Source organism: Homo sapiens, chromosome X (genome assembly GCF_000001405.40).
Source record: "Homo sapiens chromosome X, GRCh38.p14 Primary Assembly".
Taxonomy (NCBI): Eukaryota; Metazoa; Chordata; class Mammalia; order Primates; family Hominidae; genus Homo; species Homo sapiens.
This window is the reverse complement of record NC_000023.11, coordinates 150,598,826-150,619,150: the sequence shown is the minus strand read 5'-3', so window position 1 is coordinate 150,619,150 and position 20,325 is coordinate 150,598,826. Positions and strand designations below refer to the sequence as shown.

The 20,325-nt window shown below is 42.3% G+C and overlaps 1 protein-coding gene across 14 annotated transcripts in view; it reads right to left on the bottom strand.

Moving 5' to 3' along the window:
- The window catches only part of MTM1 (myotubularin 1), a 110,491-nt gene that overhangs the window by 53,993 nt on the left and 36,173 nt on the right, over window positions 1-20,325 (bottom strand). For 6 of the 14 annotated variants that reach the window (XM_047442132.1, XM_011531172.2, XM_047442133.1 and 3 more), the window contains 3 exons: window positions 17,644-17,688; window positions 4,452-4,562; window positions 12-113 (listed from right to left, as the gene is read on the bottom strand). In XM_047442132.1, the coding sequence (XP_047298088.1) occupies window positions 12-113; window positions 4,452-4,562; window positions 17,644-17,688 (258 nt within the window). The remainder of the gene's footprint in view (window positions 1-11; window positions 114-4,451; window positions 4,563-17,643; window positions 17,689-20,325) is intronic. The other 8 variants (XM_047442134.1, NM_001376908.1, NM_000252.3 and 5 more) reach the window with 2 other exon arrangements.

The window sequence follows — 20,325 nt, the reverse complement described above, 5'->3', positions numbered from 1 at the left end:
CTGGAATTTACCAGACTGTGAGCCAGGGGAAACGCGTATCTCGTGAGGATCTCAAACATATCTCTTCTGCTGTGGCCTTCCTGTTTCAAAGCGAACCTCAGGTTTCTCATGTCCTGGGGGCAAAGGAGAAGTATGACAGTTCAGTCTTCAAAGAAAGTCATGTTAATTAGCAAGAAATCTTCCATTCAATTAAGGGAGAAGATTCACTTACCTAAAAGGGCAATTAATCTAAATTATTACAAAATTGCTTTGTTTTATATGGTAATTTGGTATATCTGGCTTAAGAACACCTGAAAATATTTCCGTCATAGCCATGAATGTGAAGACAAGATAAAGCAACTAGCACTAAGGAGAAGACAGAGCTAAAATTCATTTTATAAAAAGGAAAAAAAAATCAAACCTTGCCTTGCACAACATCTACGATGATCCATCTACTTTCACTGGGTTCTGAGGTATTTTTAAATTTTTTAAAATTTATTTTATTTAATTTAGTTTTTGAGACATAGTCTCACTCTGTGGCCCAGGCTGGAGTGTAGTGGCATGATCTCGGCTCACTGCAACCTCCACCTCCTGGGTTCAAGGGATTCTCGTGCCTCAGCCTCCTGAGTGGCTGGGACTACAGAACGCACCACCACGCCCAGCTAATTTTTTGTATTTTTAGTAGAGATGGGGTTTCTCCATGTTGGCCAGGCTGGTCTCGAACTCCTGACCTCAGGTGATCTGCCTGCCTCGGCCTCCCAAAGTGCCAGGATTACAGGTGTCAAGCCACCACATCCGGCCCTGATATTTTTTTTAATTATAAAACTATTTTATTCAAACAACTTTTCTAAAGAGTACCTGCTATCAAATATAATCTCAACATTGTCAAACATGTCATTAAAATACAGAAGCTCTCTTCCTAAATGACTGACATTTTAAGCCCTCATGCAAGTCATATATTTTTATTCTACAATTTTACCTTCACAGAGTTCCATATAAGCCACATTAAAGTAGCCCATATTAGTAGTAACTACACTTTTGGGAACTAAAAATAAACAGTCAAAACCAGATTTTAAAGGTAGCTTCCAATACATATCTGTTCAATAAGCAGGAAAACTTTGTCTTAAACCAAATCCAAACCAAATAAGCTCCTTTAAATGTCAATTTGTATTATATATACAGATGTAACATTCTATCTTATTTTCAAGACTGGAGTTTTTTAAGGTTGTATCTTAAAAAAAAAAGTCAATTACAGTGCTGTGACTGAGTGATGGCTCTGCATTGGAACCCTATGCTCTGCAGTGCACTTTAAACTTTCATTTCAGATAAAGGAGTGCTGTGCTGGACCATGGAGCCACTTCAGGAGCGGTACAGACCTAGTTGTTGCCCTCTTGGATATCACAGTCTTCATTTTTTTTCAAGGTGCTTTTTCCTTCCTTATCTCAAGAGCACTCTTAACGCTTCCCAAGTCTTCAGTCTGAAGGACCAGCACAGGCTATGGCCTTCACAAGACATCTCAAACACAAATAGCAGCAAATGAAGTATGAAGAACTAAAGTCTGAGACCACTAATAAAGAACTTGAGATTGAGCACTCTGTATACAGATGACATCTACTAGGCCTTGCCAGCTCCACGATTCCATGCTTTTTTAAAAAGCATGTCACAGAATAAAGTCCAACAACCCATTCATATCACCTCCCAAGAAAATTGGGCTATTGGTTATTGGTTTGTGATGAAATGAACAGTTAAATAAGGGGAATAATCATTTCAATGGGATGATATGCATTACAAGGGTTTACGACCAGCCACAAGTGCAATACTGGAGAGCTGAGCATTCTCAGGGCTCAGGCCCTGTGAGGAACTTTCTTCCTAACAGCCGCAAGTCAGATGGTAACTCTGTAACATCGTTCTCTTCACTGCTTGGCCAGAAATTAGACCATCTCTACATGAATATTTATTCTGATCTATCAGTGATTCAAACAGCTACTTTTAATGTGCCAAAGCACAAGTGATTCAAGTAACTTCTTTTTGCCATCTGATTAAGATGCAATTAAAGACAGAATATTATTTCTTGCCAACAAAACTGAAGTAGAAAAGGCAAATGACTCACAGGCGGCAGATCACCAAATCTGTAACAGAAATAGGAGCACAGACTAACTGGTAAGTTCCACCTGGTCTCCTCAGAGTTTGACTCATCAGGGAAAGATCCACATGGGCTAAGAGTCTCCTAGTCAGACCCTCAGCCTTTTTAACAGCCGGGTCATATGGTGATGTTCCAAGCCTCACTACAGTAAGAGTTGAAGAATACATATCCCTGCTGCAACGACTCTGAAGAGTTGATTTATTGAGGCATCATTTCTAAAGAAACAACACACATGACTGCTGACTTCAAAATGCCACACTATGTCTTTAAGGCGAGTACATGGGAGTGAGGTGGGGAAGGAAAGAGAAGGCTTTGTGGTGGTATGGTTTTACTTCACTTTTTTTTGTTTGAAAGACTCCACACAGGCACCAGGGGTTGGTATGGGGCCTGCAGGGTAAGAATTTGCATATTCAGAACTACCTTTCTCCTGCTGCTGGACAACATCCTCTGGGACTTGTATCTACCATGGGAAAGTTGCTACTGGCAAGCAGAAATCTCTATGTGCATTGCTGGCATAGCCAAATTTATAGGAGTTGTAACTACTTGTTTCAAGAGAGAAATGCGGTTGTATCATGGTTATTGACTGCAGGCGAAAGTTGACCTATGAGAGACAGGACAGTGAGTCTTTTATCTCACCGAAGCAGATTTCCTTTATATCAATGTCAGGTTTGTTACTGAGAAAATGGAATATGACTCTGTGACGTCAGTGTTTCTGGGGAGACAATTTAGTTAAAAGGTTGTGCTACAACATTGTTCTAAGCCATCACCTTTGGGCTCATGCTAACTCCAAAAAATATACATATGTAACATTTCAGAATTATGCTTGGTGAGTTGTTCCTACGCCTTTTGTTCGTAAATAGTCAAGGGTGAAAATGTGCTTTGTCTCATTAATTTTGGGGGGATTGATATTTAAGTACAAGTTTTTCCTATTATAAGGCAGAAAATAGGTTTTTTTAAACCCTGTAAGAATGAAAGTCACCTCAAAACTGTCAATATAGCAACCCCATTTTCCCTTGAGCACTCTAATATTAAACACTCTACTCCCATAAATCCTTTTATGCAAAATACAAAAGTCTTCCTTCAAAGTAAATTCCCATGTTTCTAGGCCCCAAAGGGTAGACAGTAGCTGGGATAATAGATAAAGCATTAAGGTAGCTCGAATTAAAACACCACCAAAAAAAAGCTGAGGTGGATGGTAGTGGTGAATTTCAGTTAAGATTTAATAATGGCATTATCCTTTAGTTTCTGATAGAAAAAACGAGTCTTGATCTTTTATAAACGGAAAGAAAAACACCATATTGCAGCATAATCCAAATATAAGCACACAATGTTGGTTTTGAGAAATCGCAGTGTATGAGACTAGAAAAAGGAGACTTAGTTTTTGGTTCTGGCTCTTCCGCTGGCTCCCTAGGCAACACAAGGCAAGTAATCTCACACAGCAAAGGCCTCACTTCTCTATCAATACAATGAACGACTTGGATTGGCCAGGGGCCAGCAAACTTCAGCCCAGGTCTTCAAATTAAGACTGTTTTTTTTTTTTTTTAACACTTCAAAAGGGTTGAAAAAACAACACACAGAGAAGAATACACAACAGAAATCTGATGTGGCCCACAAAGCCTAAAATATTTGCTACTGAGCCCTTCACAGAAAAAGTCTGCAAAGCCCTGCACTGGACTGGTGGTTCATAGTCACACGAGACGCTTGAACACATCCCCACCTTTTGGGTCCCAGCCTTCAGAAATTATCTTAGCAAAGTTACCCAACTCTTTGGAGCCTCGGGCTCCCATCACGCCATCTCAGAGGGTTGCACTTGAGGATCAAATGCAAAGCACCTAGCATGTGTTTGGATGGACACAAATGTTCAATACATGGTTACTATCACAGCAAAGTGTACCTCTGAAAATGACCTAAGCAAAAGTTACGAAGGTTATTAGAGGTAAGGACACATCCCGTTAACAGAGGGCAAAATCTCTTCTATTCCTCCTTCCTTCATGTTAACATATGACATGAAGGGGCGCCAGGAGCAAGCTGGAGCAAAAACTAAAGTGGTTTAAGAAATTTTATCTATAAAGTTCTCTTCCCACTCAGTCAAGCTAACAAACTGACCAGTTCCTCGAGTCCTTGTATTTGGTGATTGCAGTGGGTCCCTCACGTGGGCACTATTTCCCAGGCACTTTTGAAAAGCTTGTTCTTAAGGGAAGAACCATTTCCAGGGCCTTAGATGAACATGAGATTTTGATTTTTTTTTTTCAAATCCACATTAATTGTCTACTATCATTCAACACTAACGTGCCTTGTTCTTTGCATAAGAAAGTATCGAATCTCTTACTTTACAAGTAATATCTAGACCATAGGAATTTTCTCCTCTACTTGTCGCGCCTCCCATTTTTTCAATTCTCGAGATCACACCCAGAGGAACATCAAGTATTAGAGAAGAATCCTGTAATGGACAAAAATACAGTAGTCAGTATTTCTGTCAGTATAATTAAAACATCAAAAAACATATAAAAACAACCATATGCTTTCAGAGTGATTTTACCTTGGCCCTTTTAGCACTTTATGAACAAAAATATGATACAGATCACACATGACAGAGCAAGCATTAAAACAGTCAATTATGCAATCAAAATGCATCCCCAAACATTTGCCATTGTGCACTGCCTCTGGAGTAAAGACTAAACTCCTAGGTACACATTTCCAGGACGTCCGTGATATCACTTCCAGCCTGTTTCTGTGGGATTCTCTCCCACGATATTCTGCACTCCAACTAAGTAAACTTCTTCATTCTTCAGATGCTTCATCTACGATCAAGCCACCTGCTTTGCTCAGGGTGTTCCCTTTGCCTAGAATGATCTGTCTTTCCCAGCTACCAAAATTGTCCCCATGACTTTCGCCTTGGCTCAGCAAGCATCACCTCTAATGAGGCCTTGCTTCCCAATTAGATCAGGCAGAATTCATCACTTTTTCCTCAGAAGTTCCATAGCACTTGATTCCGACTGCTGTTAACCACTTGCTTCACTCTGCCTTGTTACCACGAATTTACACATATGTATTCCCCCACTAGAGACCAAGCATCTGGAAATGGTGCTTGTCTCTGGCATGCGTGCATTTCCCAAAGCAGAAGGGCCTTAATGCACAGCAAGGCTTCTCCATCATTTGCTATCCAACGCTGGGTGCAAGTGGTCTAGAAGACTGCTGGCATGATGGAATCATGTTAGTCAAGTAATAGCACAATCATCACCAGGAGATCATCACAGCAGCTGCCATGTAGGAAATACCTCTCTTCTGTGCCAGGTACTACATTAGGGGCTTTGCACGCATCATCTCATTTTATCCTCACAACCGTTCCAGGATATAGGTGAAGTATCCCCATTTCCTAAGTTTTTCAAAGCTTCAATAACTTGTTTAGTAAGTATAGGGCAGGGTTGAGACTCGAGGCAATGCCTGAAAACACACATTAAAAGTGCCATAAAAATTGTCCTACTCTTTGATCCAATAATTTCGCTACTAAGAACTTATGGCTATCACTTAACAGAAGGAAGATGTTCAATGGAGCTAGAGGTAGATAACAGGGTAGAAAAAATTATACTCAACTCGCTGGAACAAGTATACAGTTTTTAAAATAATTATGGTACATGGAAAAGTAAGTTTAAGTGGGAAACAGCAGCATACAACACACACGGTGACTACAATAACATGAAATATCTATTTACAGGGACAAAGACATGAAGGGCTACACCATTTTTAATCCAAACTTTTCTTTCATATTGTGATAGATAAGTTTGAAAAATAAAGAAAAAAAATTTTTAAGGGTTATTTGGTTTTTTGTTCTTTAAAAACCTTTTGGGGCTACAAAGTTTTTCTTTTCTTTCCCCCCTTTTTTTTTTTTTTTAAGAGATAAGTTCTTGCTCTGTTGCTCAGGCTGGAGTACAGTGGCTCACTGCAGCCTTGACGTCCCAGGCTCAAGGGATCCTCCCACCTCAGCCTTCCAAGTAGCTGAGACCACAGGCACACACCACCAGCCACACTTAATTTTTTTTTTTTTTTAGATGAGTCTCACTCTGTCACCCAGGCTGGAGTGCAGTGGCACGATCTCAGCTCACTGCAACCTCCACCTCCTGGGTTCAAGCAATTCTCCTGCCTCAGCCTCCCAAGTAGCTGGGATTACAGGCATGTGCCACCATGCCTGGCTAATTTTTGTATTTTTAGTAGAGACGGGGTTTTGCCATGTTGGCCAGGCTGGTCTCAAACCCCTGACCTCAGGTAATACACCTGCCTCGGCCTCCCAAAGTTCTAGGATTATAAGCATGAGCCACCATGCCCAGCCAAATTTTTTAAAAGTTTTTTGTAGAGACAGAGTCTTACTATGTTGTCCAGGCTGGTCGCAAACTCCTGGGCTCGAGTGATCCTCCCACATCAGCCTCCTGAGTAGCTGGGAGTAGCTGAGACCACAGATGCATGCCACCACGCCCAACTAATTATTTTGTATTTTTTGTAGAGATGGTGGGGGGGTCTCACTATGTTGTCCAGGCTGGTCTCAAACTCCTGGGCTCAAGCAATCCTCCTGCCTTGGCCTCTCAAAGTATTGGGATTACATGTGTGAGCCACTGCTCCTGGCCTTTTATATTAAAATACAATACAGAAAATAAGCAGTTATTCATAAAATATAAATGCAGCTCATGGGTTATCTAGAAATTCAAAAAGTGTAAGGCTGCGAGCATCCATACCATGGAATACCACTCAGCAAGAAAAATGAATGAACTATGGATACATGGAACCTGGAAGAATCTTAAGGGCATCACGTGGAATGAAAATCGCCAATCTTTTTTTTTTTTTTTGAGACAGGACCTCACTCCATCACCCAGGCTGAAGTGCAGTGGTGTGATCTCAACACAGCCTCAACCTCCCTGGGCTCAGGTAGCCCTCTCACCTCAGCCTCCCAAGTAGCTGGGACTACAGGTACATGCCATCGCACCTGGCTAATTTTTGTACTTTTGTAGAGATGGGGTTTCACCATGTGGCCCAGGCTGGTCTCGAACTTCTGAGGCTCAAGCCATCCACCTGCCTCAGCCTCCCAGAGTGCTGGGATTACAGGCGTGGGCCACCACACTTGGCTGAGAAATGCCAATCTTAAAAGGTAAGGTATTATATGATTCCTTTTATATAATGTGCTTGAAATGACAAAATTGTAGAGAGGGAACCCAGAGAAGTGGTTGCAGAGGTTGAGGGGAGGGATAGCGCGACTCTAAACGGGCAGCACGAGCGAGTTCTTTTGTGGTGACAGAACAGTTCCATGTCTTGATTATTGATGGTGGTTACCTGGGATCAAATGCTACAGAACTGTGCACAAAAGCACACAAAAAGTGAGTGCGGGAAAAATACTGCTAAAATTCAAGTATGGTCAGTCTAGTTGTGCCAATCCACTTCCTGGTTTTGATAAAGGGATATAGTTATTGTGGGGAACTCAGTAATAGGTACAAAGGACCTCTTCTATTTTTGCAAGTTCTATGAGCTCATAATTATTTCAAAATAAAAAAGCAAAAAAGTGTACGAGTATAATTATCATAATGTAGAGAAAATAGTACAAGCTCTTAAGGCGGACAAAACTGGCTCAATCTGAATCCTGACATTTACTAGCTGATAACAGTGGTGAGTTACTATCACTCAGTCACATTTATCTGAAAGTAGAGATGATTACAGAAAATGAGTTTAAAGTACCTGGCGTCGTGCCTGATGCCAGTAGCTAGAAAACAATGGAAGTTATTATTATTATGGCAAAGAATATCTTAGTATTTGGAAGATGTAATTGTGCTCTTCAAATATAGTGGATCAGTATGCTCTAGCAAGCATCTAACAGATCTTACTGTTTGTACCTATAAGGAGGAATGTCACGGGGTAAGACACCTCATGACATGACTGAAACCTAAATGCCCAAAGAGAAAAATACTACTCAGTAACAGTGTACGTATATAAGCAGCATATTTTCATGTATTTACTTATCGATACAGTGCAGTTATTTAAAACACAGTATCAGTCTGTTATTATGCTTAGATATACCATATTGACATTTGAGTGTCTGTGAACTGTATTCTTAAATGTCAAATTTATACATAAAATACACAGAATAGACACTAAATAAGTCTGATACTCTAGCATCAACATGGAAGCAAGGATGTTTGAAAAAAGTGGAAGAATTAAAAGTGAGCTAACACCTTGCTACTCTTTGTCTCTGTACAGAGGAAACTGTATAGCTCAAAGAGCCCTGGCCCTACACAGAAAAAAAGAAAACAGGTCGCTGAGGAGAACCAGCCAGCTTCTGACCAAAGGCACCCACCGTCTAATAAGGTTACTTGCTACATTCTCCCTGAATGACACATTCAAGATCAGATAACCCAGCAGGCCAAACTGCAAGATCCAGGAATAGGCAAATTAGCTGAACTTTCTGGATACCTGAGTCATCAGTATCTAAATATCATTAAATATTTAAGGATTTTCAAAGGCCCATTCTAACTCAAAAGTCTATGCCTTGTACTTCTAACTACCTAAAGTAATTGACATGAAAATAGGGGAGTTAAATAACCTAAAATAATGCATTCTTTCTTTCTCTCTCTCTCTCTCTGTCTCTGTCTGTCTGTCTGTCTCATACACTAAGTAACAGAAACTCTACTGGGCCCTAGGGTTCATGAAGTTAAGAAGCAGAGTTGCCCACATGGAGTTCAGGGCCTAGCTCTATCTGGGAGATAAGACACATGGACTCAAGTAACTACAATGCCAGGTTGCTAGTGCCAAGAGCCATAGGCAAAGTCCACACAAAGTGAAAGGGGAGGTCAAAGGAGGGCAAACCATATCTGATGATTAGATAGCATGAAGGTTCTGTGGCAATGACTGCATTAAAAATGATCCTTAAAGGATGGATCAAGAGCAACTGGAGATTGGCATTTGAGAAGCAAGTAAGAGTCACATCAGCTGCACATGTGGGAAAAGCATGGAGAGTTTATTTTAAAAAAATATAGGCCAGGTTTCAGCAACGGTGATGGGAATTTCCTGGGGAGTACTACACGGCTAGGATCAGGGAGACTGAGATCTAAAGGATGCTTCTGGAGAACAGGAATGCCATGATTAACTGGTGCTTTATGAAGATTCATCTGGCAGCACTGAGCATTCTGGACTAGCAAGAAGTGGGCTACAACCACTCCTCAAAACCATGAAAGCTGATACTTCAGTACAAGTGAGAGGCTATGAGGATCTAGAAGTAGAGAAGGACCGAGGTAGAAAGCAAAAGAGACTAGCCACTGGGGAAGACTCAAAGATGAATCAGCTTTGGGCCCAGATCTCTGGGATAAATAGTGGTGGTACCACCAAAAGATGTGAAGAACACAGGAGGGGGTTTTAGAGAAAGATGAACACGGCCGATTTTAGAAACTCTTGGTTTGAGATTATGATAAATGAACCAAGTACAGATACCCAGGAGATGGCTGGATATACAGAACTGACAAGATCTCAAGGGTACCTCGAACTAAAAATGTCCAGAACTAAATGCAGTTCTCTCTCCAAACTACATTATTCTCCAAAGTTCCCTATCTCAGTGGCTGGTTACGAAAGCTAGAAACCTAGAAGTCACCCCTGGCATCCCCTTCTCTGCTATCCTTAAGCCAGTCTCCTATGTCTACCTCTTAAATCAGTCTCAACTCTGCTAACCACTCCAATTCTACCAGCAACTTCTCTGGGCCACTGCCGTGGTTGCAGTGGTCTCAAAATCTACGATCATTCCCCCTAGAGTAGCCAGGGTGATCTTTTAGAAGAGCACATCTGATGTTATCATTCCTTGGCTCACACCACTTTGAAAGTGGTGTGAAAAGCTTCAAAAGCTTCTCATTGCTGAACTCTAAAAACCCAAATCCTGACCAGGCATGGTGGCTCACGCCTGTAATACCAGCACTTTGGGAGGCCGAGGTTGGTGGATCACCTGAGGTCAGTTCAAGACCAGCCTGGCCAACATGGTGAAACCCCGTCTCTACTAAAAATACAAAAATCAGCTGGGCGTGGTGGCAGGTGCCTGTAATCCCAGCTACTCGGGAGGCTGAGGCAAGAGAATTGCTTGAACACGGGAGGCGGAGGTTGCAGTGAGCCGAGATCACACCATTGCCCTCTAGCCGGGGGACAAGAGCGAGACTTCATCTCAAAAATAATAATAATAATCATCATCATCATCATCATCATCATCCTGGGGAAGGCAATGGGGAGATGTTGGTCAAAGGAGACAAAATTTCAGTTAATAGGAGGAGTAAGTTCCAGAGATCTACTGTACAACAAAGTGACTACAACTAACAACTATTGTGTACTAGAAAATTGCTGAGAGTAAATTCTAAATGTTCTGACCACACAAAATATGTATGTGAGGCCATGCTTATGTTAAGTAGCTTGATTGACTCATTCTACAATGTGTATGTATTTCAAAACACGTTGCACACGATATATACAATTTTTGTCAATTAAAAAATAAATTAAAGGGCTGGGCATGGTGGCTTATGCCTGCAATCCCAGCACTTTGGGAGGCGGAGGCAGGCGGATCGCTTGAGCCAAGGAGTTTGAGACCAGCCTGGGCAACACAGCAAGACCCTATCTCTACAAAAAATACAAAAATTAGCTGGCCATGGTAGTGTGCAGCTATAGTCCTAGCTACTCAGGAAGTTGAGGTGGGAGGACTGCTTGAGCTCAGGAGGTCATGGCTGCAGTGAGCTATGATTGCACCACTGCACTCCAGCCTGGGCAACAGCGAGACCCTGTCTCAAATCAATCAATCCAATGAATAAATGAAAAAATAAAAACCCCAAATCCTGAACAGGGTGGGCAAGGCCGAGGACATCTGGCCACCATCTACCTCTCTCACCTCATCTCTTGCCATTCTCCCCCAACTCAGCCATACTGTCATTTTTCATGCTTCCTTTGGTCTCAGGTCCTCTCATATGCTGTTCTCTCAGCTTCTTCTCACCTCCCCAGCCCCTGACTCACATCTAGGGAACTTATATGTATTCTTCAGACCCCAGGTCAAGCATTTTCTCAGGACAATTTCCCAGGCTCCTCAAACTGTTGTGCCCCTGTACTACTCCCACGCAACACTGATCACAGCTTGTTATTATATATTGGCGTGACTATCAGAAGAATGTTTATCAATCCCATGAGAACTATAAGCTTCGTGAGGGAGAAACTGTTTGCGGTGCTCACCATCATATCCTAGCACCTGGCATAGTGCTTAACACATACTGGACTCTCAGATACTCAATGAATACAGAATGAAAGATTGGAACTGGAGCTAGAGAATTGGAAAGCAACTGACAATGGAGAAAAAAGAGGGTGAGGACAGAACTCTGGGGAAAATAATATTTAGGAGGTAGGAAAGAAAAAATGAGCCGCATAGAAGGCAAGAGGCAGAAATGAGAGGAGAGCCAGGAATGTATAGGGAAAAGGATAAAGGAAGGAGCAGTCAACAGAATCAATCCCTGCATAGAAATTTAAAAGTCAAGAACTCAACCAAGGCCACTGGAATTGAGCAGTAAAGTAGTTTCAATAGGGAACAGAAGCCAGACCACAAGAAGTAAGGAGTCAATAGTACGGAAGTGGAAGCAGCATGTGTGGACTAATTTTTAAAGAAGTTTGTGCAATAAGGGGAAGAAAGAGGATGATAGTATCAGTGGTAGCAGGAATACAAGAAGGTGTTTTCAAATAAAGATACTTGGGCAAGGCTGGGTGCAGTGGCTCGCGCCTGTAATCCCAGCACTTTGGGAGGCGGAGGTGGGCAGATTACTTGAGGTCAGGAGTCCGAGACCAGCCTGGCCAACATAATGAAACAATGTCTCTACTAAAAATACAAAAATTAACTGGCTGTGGTGGTACATGTCTGTAATCCCAGCTACTCGGGAAGCTGAGGCGGGAGAATCTCTTGAACCCAAGGAACCCAAGAGGTGGAGGTTGCGGTGAGCCGAGATCACGCCACTGCACTCCAACCTGGGCAACAGAGCTGTCTCAAAATGGACAGCTCTGTCCATTTTGGGAGGGGAGGGGAGGGGGAGGGGAGGGGGAGGGGAGGGAAGGGAAGGGAGGGAACCGAGGGAAGGGAGGGAACCCAGGGAAGGGAGGGAACCCAGGGAAGGGAGGGAAGGAAGGGAAGAGAGGGAAGGGAGGGAAGGAAGGGAAGAAAGGGAAGAGAGGGAAGGGAGGGAAGGAAGGAAGGGAAGGAAGTTGAGCAGATTCACAGAGCGGGGGGAAGGAGAATCAAAAATGATGAAAACCAAAAATGTAAGACACAGAATAACCAATGGGGAACTAAGACTCCAGAGGAGAAAGGTGTAAAGAATGGGATTCACTTTGGAAAATAAGATGTCTGATTCCTTCCTCTCAGATGCGAGGGAAGGAGGAAAAAATGGGTGAAGGTAGACCTCCTTAGGTGGTGACAAGGGGACTTTTCAACAGAACAAGAGATGAGGTTAGCCAAAGAGCATGAAAGGTTTGTCACTGTAGTGGTGGAAGGTGTAGTGAGAAGTCAATCTGAGACCGAAGGAATTGCCAAAGCAGCGATGAGACCCTTTCTGAAAGCCTGAACTTGTAGTGGAACTAATTAATTAAACCTGTTATGTGACTTTCAACATCAGAGCTTAGTAGCTTACAGACCCTAAAGTTTGGGGATTAGCATGGGGACAAGGGACAAAGGAACCAAGGGTACTGGCAGGAATTAGGTTTTTGTTTTGTTTTGTTTTGTTTTGTTTTTTAATGTGAAGAAGGCATTCATTTTGCAGCAGCAATATAAGAAGATGATTTAAGACTGGAAGTTTAAAATAATACCTATAGCATAGATCCTATGCTCCCACTGATGTTCCGATTTATGGACAGACTAGGGTGTTTTATTATAGTCTATTTAGCATTATTTCACCTACCATAAAATGAAAAGAGGTGCCAAATCCACTAGAGAGAAGGACCTGAAAAGGACAGTCTTGAAAAGTTTCCAATGCTTTTTTTTTTTTTTCTTCAAGGAAAAAATACTACAGGAATCCTTTTTGGCTGTGCTTGTAATTAAGTGGACTGGCCTTCCCTCTGAAAAAGAATATAGGTCTGGCTTTGAAATGCTCACACTGAAAGGTAAACTCTGCCTCCCTTCCTGGTAGTATCCAAGGCTTACAGATCCAATGACAGCCACCAATAGAGATGAGGAAACCCGAGTACTGCTGCACTTGTTCCACACCCAGCTCTTAGATGGCACAACACCCAGCACCCATCTGAAAGCCATTTCATAACCAGGTATTTGAGACAGAGTTTGACAGACATGTAAACTGCCTACTCGTCTTGATTCTCCAAATATTACCTTTGCACTGGCAACTCATCAGAAAAACAAAGTAGGCCACATTATATAGTTCTTCACAGAAGCACTTTTACCAACTAAAAGTTAACACTGTATGCTCCATCTTTATAGAGAATCAACAAAAGAGCCATCAAATTGAAAAGGATTCAAGAATCTTTGGGTAATACACTGCCTGAAGAATTGAATCACTGTGTCACTATCTTTTAGAGAAAAGCCAAACAACAAATTTGTCCTTGAATTTAATCCAGGAAGAATGTGCTGTTTCTGACTTGTCTTCAGAAAATGAAAACTCTATATCCAACATGTTTCTCACCCTGCCAGCAGTCCTGAACCTAGAGCCAAATTATACTGACCAAGGGTTAGGATCTGCTCCACTGGAAGCCTTAAAAGCCCCCATTCCTTTAGCTTCCTCCACATTTCCTATATTCCATTCTATTTTAAAAAGGGATGTGTGAAATGACCACGAGTGAGAAATACCAACTTTTGGATGGTGATTACCTCTGCTGTGAAGAGGGAGGAAAGGATGGAATTCCTTCAGCTGGGTGGTGGACCCACAGACATTTATGTTATTTTTCATAAGCTTTCTATAGCAAATACTTCGGAACGATTTTTAAGAGGAGTCGGGGGCAAATGGCAGAGATGGGGTGGGGATGAATGTATGCTCTAGGGGGACAAAATGGCTGCACGAGAAGTCCACAGGTGAGGAGGCAGAGGGCTTGTTTAGGAAGACCAAGTTGCTTATGGGAGCCAAAGCACGGGGTGTATACACAAGGGAGGGGAGAAAGAGCAATGCTGGGAAGATAAGATGGCAGCAGAGTGGTGAGGACCGTGAACACCTGGCTAGGGAATGTGCGATAAGGTAGGAAAGGAGAGTTTCTGAGTAAGGGAATGAGAAGATTGCAGGTATGTCTTAGGGAGCAGATAGAATAGAAGGGAGAGATGCAGAAGTCAGGGAGGCCTAGCTGAAGGAGACTGCCAGGGCCTAGGAGACAGACACCGAGGATGAGGGTAGGGCAACGTGACTAGAAAGGATGAGGCAAATGTGATGAAGTCTACAGAGAAGTGGGGATGGGTAGACAGAGGAGACTCCAGGGTGATGAGAAGAAAATGGCACCATTAAGAGAAACAAGAACACCAAAAGAAGGAACTCGGGGGAGGGAGACAATTGAGTTGAACAATTTCAGCTTGACCATGAGTCTGGGATGCCAGGTGAAAACTCAAGGGATCTCCAGCAGGCAGTAAGGAAAGAGAAACTGGGGCTCAAAAGAGAGGTAGCACTAGGGGAAAAAACATGGCTAGGGTAGCGTCTGCTTTGCCTATCTGTCAGCTGTTGTCATGCTCAGATGAAAGAGTCAATGGAAAAAGGCTGGGTAAACTCTAAGGAGCTTTGTTACTATACAATTTCATGTGCATGGAAGTGACTAAAGCCAAGGGGGTAGCTTAAAGCCACGGGGAGAAGAATAAATGCAGAGCAGCTTGCTGAGGCCTGGAAGCTGCAGAATCTTTACAGAAAGACCAAGGTGGAAGAGGACTGCGAGAAAGACCCAAGGACTCACATCTCCATGGAATCTGTTCTCGCTGGGGCTCCTGTGAGCCTCCTCCTGGCCACACACTCCATGGCCTCTTTTCATTCTTTATCTTACTGAAACTTGCAACATTTCACACCATGGTCTGCTCCCTTCCTTCTTGAGATTCTCTCTCCTACTGACTTCCATCACAGCCCTTTATCCAAAGATTTTCTACTGCTTTGGCTGCTGCCACTTGGTTGTCTCCACTGGCTCTTCTCGCTCTCCGCACCATGGAAAAGTGTCCATGTCCCCCGGGGTCCTCTCCTTAGCCCATATCTTTTTATGTTACATACTCTTCCCAGCTCATGAATGTCTGTGGTCTTTAGTGCTACCAATATGCTAATGACTTCAGAAGCTTCAGAGTCAGGTTTCCAACTGCTTCTGAGCCATTTCCACGTGGTAGTTGTAGAGCTGTAAGTCCATGCCTTCAGACTAATTTCCCCATTGGGCTTATCTACAACATATTCCTTCTCCTGTAATATGTCTATTCAGATGAATGGGAGCAGCTCCTATCTTTCAAGTGAAAGTTTGTTCAACTCCATCTTCCAAATGGCCACTCAAGCCCTCCAAATCTCTCATGGCTGTCCCCTCTTTTCTATCTCCACTATGACTGTATTAAGGCCCTTATCACTTACCTAGGAAACTAAAATAACTTCCTAGTTGGGCTTCCTGACTTCAGTCTCTCCCGCCCCTAACCCATCACACACACACTGCAGCTGGAGTTCTCTTCCTGAAATCACATTGGATATGTCATTGTCTGTGTAACTTGCATACTGCTTAACTGTGACTTATGAGACTCTTAAGGCTGCTGGCTCTTCTTCCAGCCTCATCCTCTTCTGTTCCCCACTCCTCCATCAACCCCCAATGTTCCAGCTCCAACCGATCATTCAACCATCTTCATAACAAATGGTGCTTTTCCATATTGTTATACATGCGATACAGAAAAGTACCATATAGACACGGTAACTCTCTACCTGATATGCTCCTTTTTCCTTCCTGTCCAGAAAATTGTTACCATTCTTCAAGAGTTGGTTCAAGTATCATCTCCTCTATAAAGCATTCTATGACTTGCTACACTGGCATAATCGTCTTTTCCCTTGTACGTCTTCTTCCTTCTCACAGCACTATGCATACCACTGTAGGCTTTGTCATATTATACCACAATTACTCAACTCTATATCCTATGAGGTTATGCAGGCCTCAGGGTATAGTATTATGCACCTTGCACAGTATTAAATTCACCATGGTGCTCAGTGAATGTTTCTGGAATGAAGACATGAATGCCTGAATGAACGAGGGTTAAGGTATCTTTCTCATGCACTAGAGCACCTAAACACAAAGTGCTCCTGGAAGGAATCCTGAAAGCAGTCTTACTCATGGTAGTCTACCAGATTACAGGGTATCACCTACCTACAGTAGGCCCTACTATAGTCACAACATTAACCCAAAGCCAAATTCCTTAGTACCCTCAAGGCCAAAAGGTAGCTATGGGATTTCTCAAATCCAGAAGCAATGTTAGTATTCAAGATGCCACAATGTAGCAGGAGCCATACTGTGGTCAAACCACAGTGACTAGGCCTTTGCCCTCTGAGCAGCACTAACAACTTAGGAGCCCATTTCCTCCCAAGTTCACTCAATACACTTTTACTGTGTATTACTGTCTACCAGGACACTGTACTAGCTAGGCATGAAGGACCAAATGGACTCAGCATTTGATAAGACCACAGACATAGCAGCAAATAAATATGACAGAATCCATTCATTCAACACACACTGACTTAGCATCTTCAATGTGCCAGACTCCTTCCCAAGAACTGAAAGAACATCAGTGAATAGACAGACAAGCATCCTTGTCCTTAGAGAGACAACAAACAAGATGAATCAGTGAAATATATAACATAGGACACAGTGACAAGCACTCAAGAGAAAAATTAAACACAGAAAAGACATATTAAAAGTTTAGCTAAAGGGCCAGGGAAGGTTTCATAGCAATGTGTTAATAACACAGAGGCATGAAGAAAAGGCTGCAGGGACACAAAGAAGGAATGATTCCTTCAAGAGAAGCTGGGGAAGACTCCAGAGAGGGTGTGGCTCTTGAGGTAGGTTCTGAAGGATGACTAGCAGCTTCTGAAAGGGGTGGAGAAAGGGCATCCAGGTTCCGTGAGAATGGCACATGCATGATGGGAGAAGGAAAGGCTCTGCGTAGTTTGAGAACAATGCACTTGGGAAGAAGTGATGTGAGTCAAGGTTGGAGGAGTCAGAAGGACTTTTAGGCCATACCAAGAGAATGGATTTCACTCTGTGGGCAACAGGGAACCGATGATAGTTTTGGAACTGAGAAATAAGCTGGTCGGCCTCACTCTAAGGACGAACACGCTGGAGACGGGGCGTGGGCCAGAATGCAGGGGCAGACCAGGCAAGGAGGGCTAGGTAGAAGCAGGCCACTGTGGCAATCTCAGGACATGGACACTGTTTCTCTACTTCTCTGGGCAACAGGAGGCAGGGAATCTGCCCTTGACTCCTTACAAAATAGCAGAGCTGACTCCAGAATCAGACCACACACATCTGGACTCATCACTCCTACTGCAGTGTTTACATACCTGAAACAAACAGGTGTCCACTTCAAAACGCCAGTGAGATGACAGCTTTTTGTCAAACATGCAACAAAATTTTTTTCAGTTTGCAGCAGAATCCACAGTTAATGTTCTTGCTTAGGACTTTAATTGAAGAAACACTATGATGACTATGTTTTTAGACTCCTGTATAACCATTTAAATGGCATTCTTTATATGATGTTTTCTGCTGTCAGCTGCTTGCTTTTATACTTGGACTAAATGTTGTGGCCAATTGCTCAAAATGTTTATGTAAAACTTAGTGGAAGAAGAAATAAGTTAGTAGTCAGTGTCAGACAGGCATTTTATTCACCCACTCAGCACTAACTCCATCCTCTAGGGCATCATATACAAACAAAAATAAAACTTGCTGAGAATTCTTCCAATTGTAAAAGTAATACATGTTCATTCTGGGTTTTTGAAAAATATTGACAAGTGAAAGGAAGAAGACAAGACATGCATAATCCCTTTCTTCAGATAGCCCAAATACTGAAACCTTTGGTGTACTTCTTTCCAGCCTCTTTTCTACAGATAATTTTTGTTTTTCGTAGTTGAGGTCACACTACATACACAACCTTGTCATATCATCAGTTTGAATAACTTCCCCAGTTCATCATCAGTGACAGCATAAGGTGGAACTGGCTACACAGGGTGAGTCAAAAAGCCAAGAGTACAAGCAGCAAAAGGGACCATAATGTTTAATTGCAACTTTTGATAATTCTCACATATATTAGCATAAAATCTTTCAATCTATCCTAATTTGACCCTTGGGAGCTATACAGAATAAATCGAATCCCTGCTCCACAGAAAGGCACTTCAAATATTCAAAGATGGGTCCATCATGTCCCTTTTTAGTCATCTTTTCTTCAGACAAGATCAGCATTTATTTTGATCACTGCTCCAACTGCAGTCCCTTCACTAACCTGGTTATCTGTGTCTGAACTCTCTTCAGTTTGTTAATGTCCCTCTTAAAACTTGGCATCTGGCTTGGAATACAACACTTCAGATGGGGCTATTGTTACATTTTGTCTGGCAATTATGTTATACTTCTGTTAACTCAGCCTAGGGGAATATTAACTTTTTAATCAGTCATATCCAATTACTGGTTCAAATAAGCTTGGATCCGTTAAGACAGACCTCCTATCCTTTACTGATAACAACTGAGTAATTGTTATCTATATCAATTTTATATTATTAGTTTTGCTCCAATATCCTACCAAGTTAAGATCATTTCAAACCCTGATCCCATCACCTAGCACACATTGGCTAGTATGGGGTTTTTCATACATTGGAAATGCATGTCTTCTATGTGCTCCTCTGCATTGCATCAGAAATGCTGGAAAGGAAGGGCCCTACACAGCAAGATGTTAGCGACCACCCTTCCTAGCATTAAGCCTGAAATCCATAGGCTGTAACTCCACCTAAGTGTACTGCCACCATTTGGCCCAGGTGTCTTTACCGGAGTCTGTCATATGGCCTTGGTTCCATCAAGACAATGTGTCAATAACACTCCCAATGGTTGGTTTCTTTTCTAAGGACTTAAAAATCATGTTTAAAATGATTATTTGTAGAATTTTTGCCAATTGTTGCCAAGGGTGAACATGCAGCTCGCTGTTGTTAATTTTCAGAATCTTCTTTCCCATTCTGGAAATCTAGAACATTCACTCATCTCCACTCTTACTTAAAAGTTTGAACAGAGTCACATAAATAAAATGCCCTGTGGCCTGATCCATGTACATGTCCCTACAAGCACTGTGCCAGAGGAGATTCCAGAAGTTGGGGCAGCTATAAAAGTGGGCTCCCACAGCTAAGGCAATGGGGATAATAAACAGCATTTTTTCAGAATTCAGACATAATAATGAACACCATAAAAGAAAAAAAGATTAAAAGATACAAACTAATCTAGATTAGAACTGTCCTAAAAAATGGTGGGGTAAAAGCAATAAAAAAGCTACATTTCCCCGACAGCCTCAAGGTCACCTGTGTAGAAGCTGCTGATGGGCTACTCTCTGTGAACCCTGGACCTCTTTCCCCATTCACATCCTATCAAAATATACCTCCCCTTCAGGCTGACCTGGGCAATGACAACCCACCACATCCACTGGAAGTCCTTCAGTGACAGCCACAGCAGCTACTCACTCTCTCTTCCCTTTCTGGGGCATCTCTTTTCCATGTTATTGTCCTAGTGATGGAACATTCCTCAAAATGCTGTGACAAACCTTTCATGGTCAGGGATTGAAAAGGTAGAGTGGCAGTAAGCCATACCATAGTCATCCTAGTTCTACACTGCTACCTGGTGCTTTATCATTGAACACCTGGAAAAGTTCTAGAATGCTGGGCTTCACCCAGAAATTCACATCACTATCTTCCTCTGTGATATTTTAGAAAATATAACTGTGCCAGGACCACAGGTCTGGATATTCTGATGCAGTCTATCCAGGACATCTGTATTTTTTTATTTTTAACTTTTATGGATACTGTGTTGTTAAGCTCCATAAGTGGGTTTCATATGTGCTTCTGGCAAAGAACCACTGTTCTACACCTAACTTCTCCAAACTAGCAAATGGTTACAATTACTAACCCCTCCCCCACCATTATGAGGGATAAGACTTTTTTTAATTGACCCTGTTCCTTACATATACAAGTGTTAGTGTTAAATGAGTTTTGCAT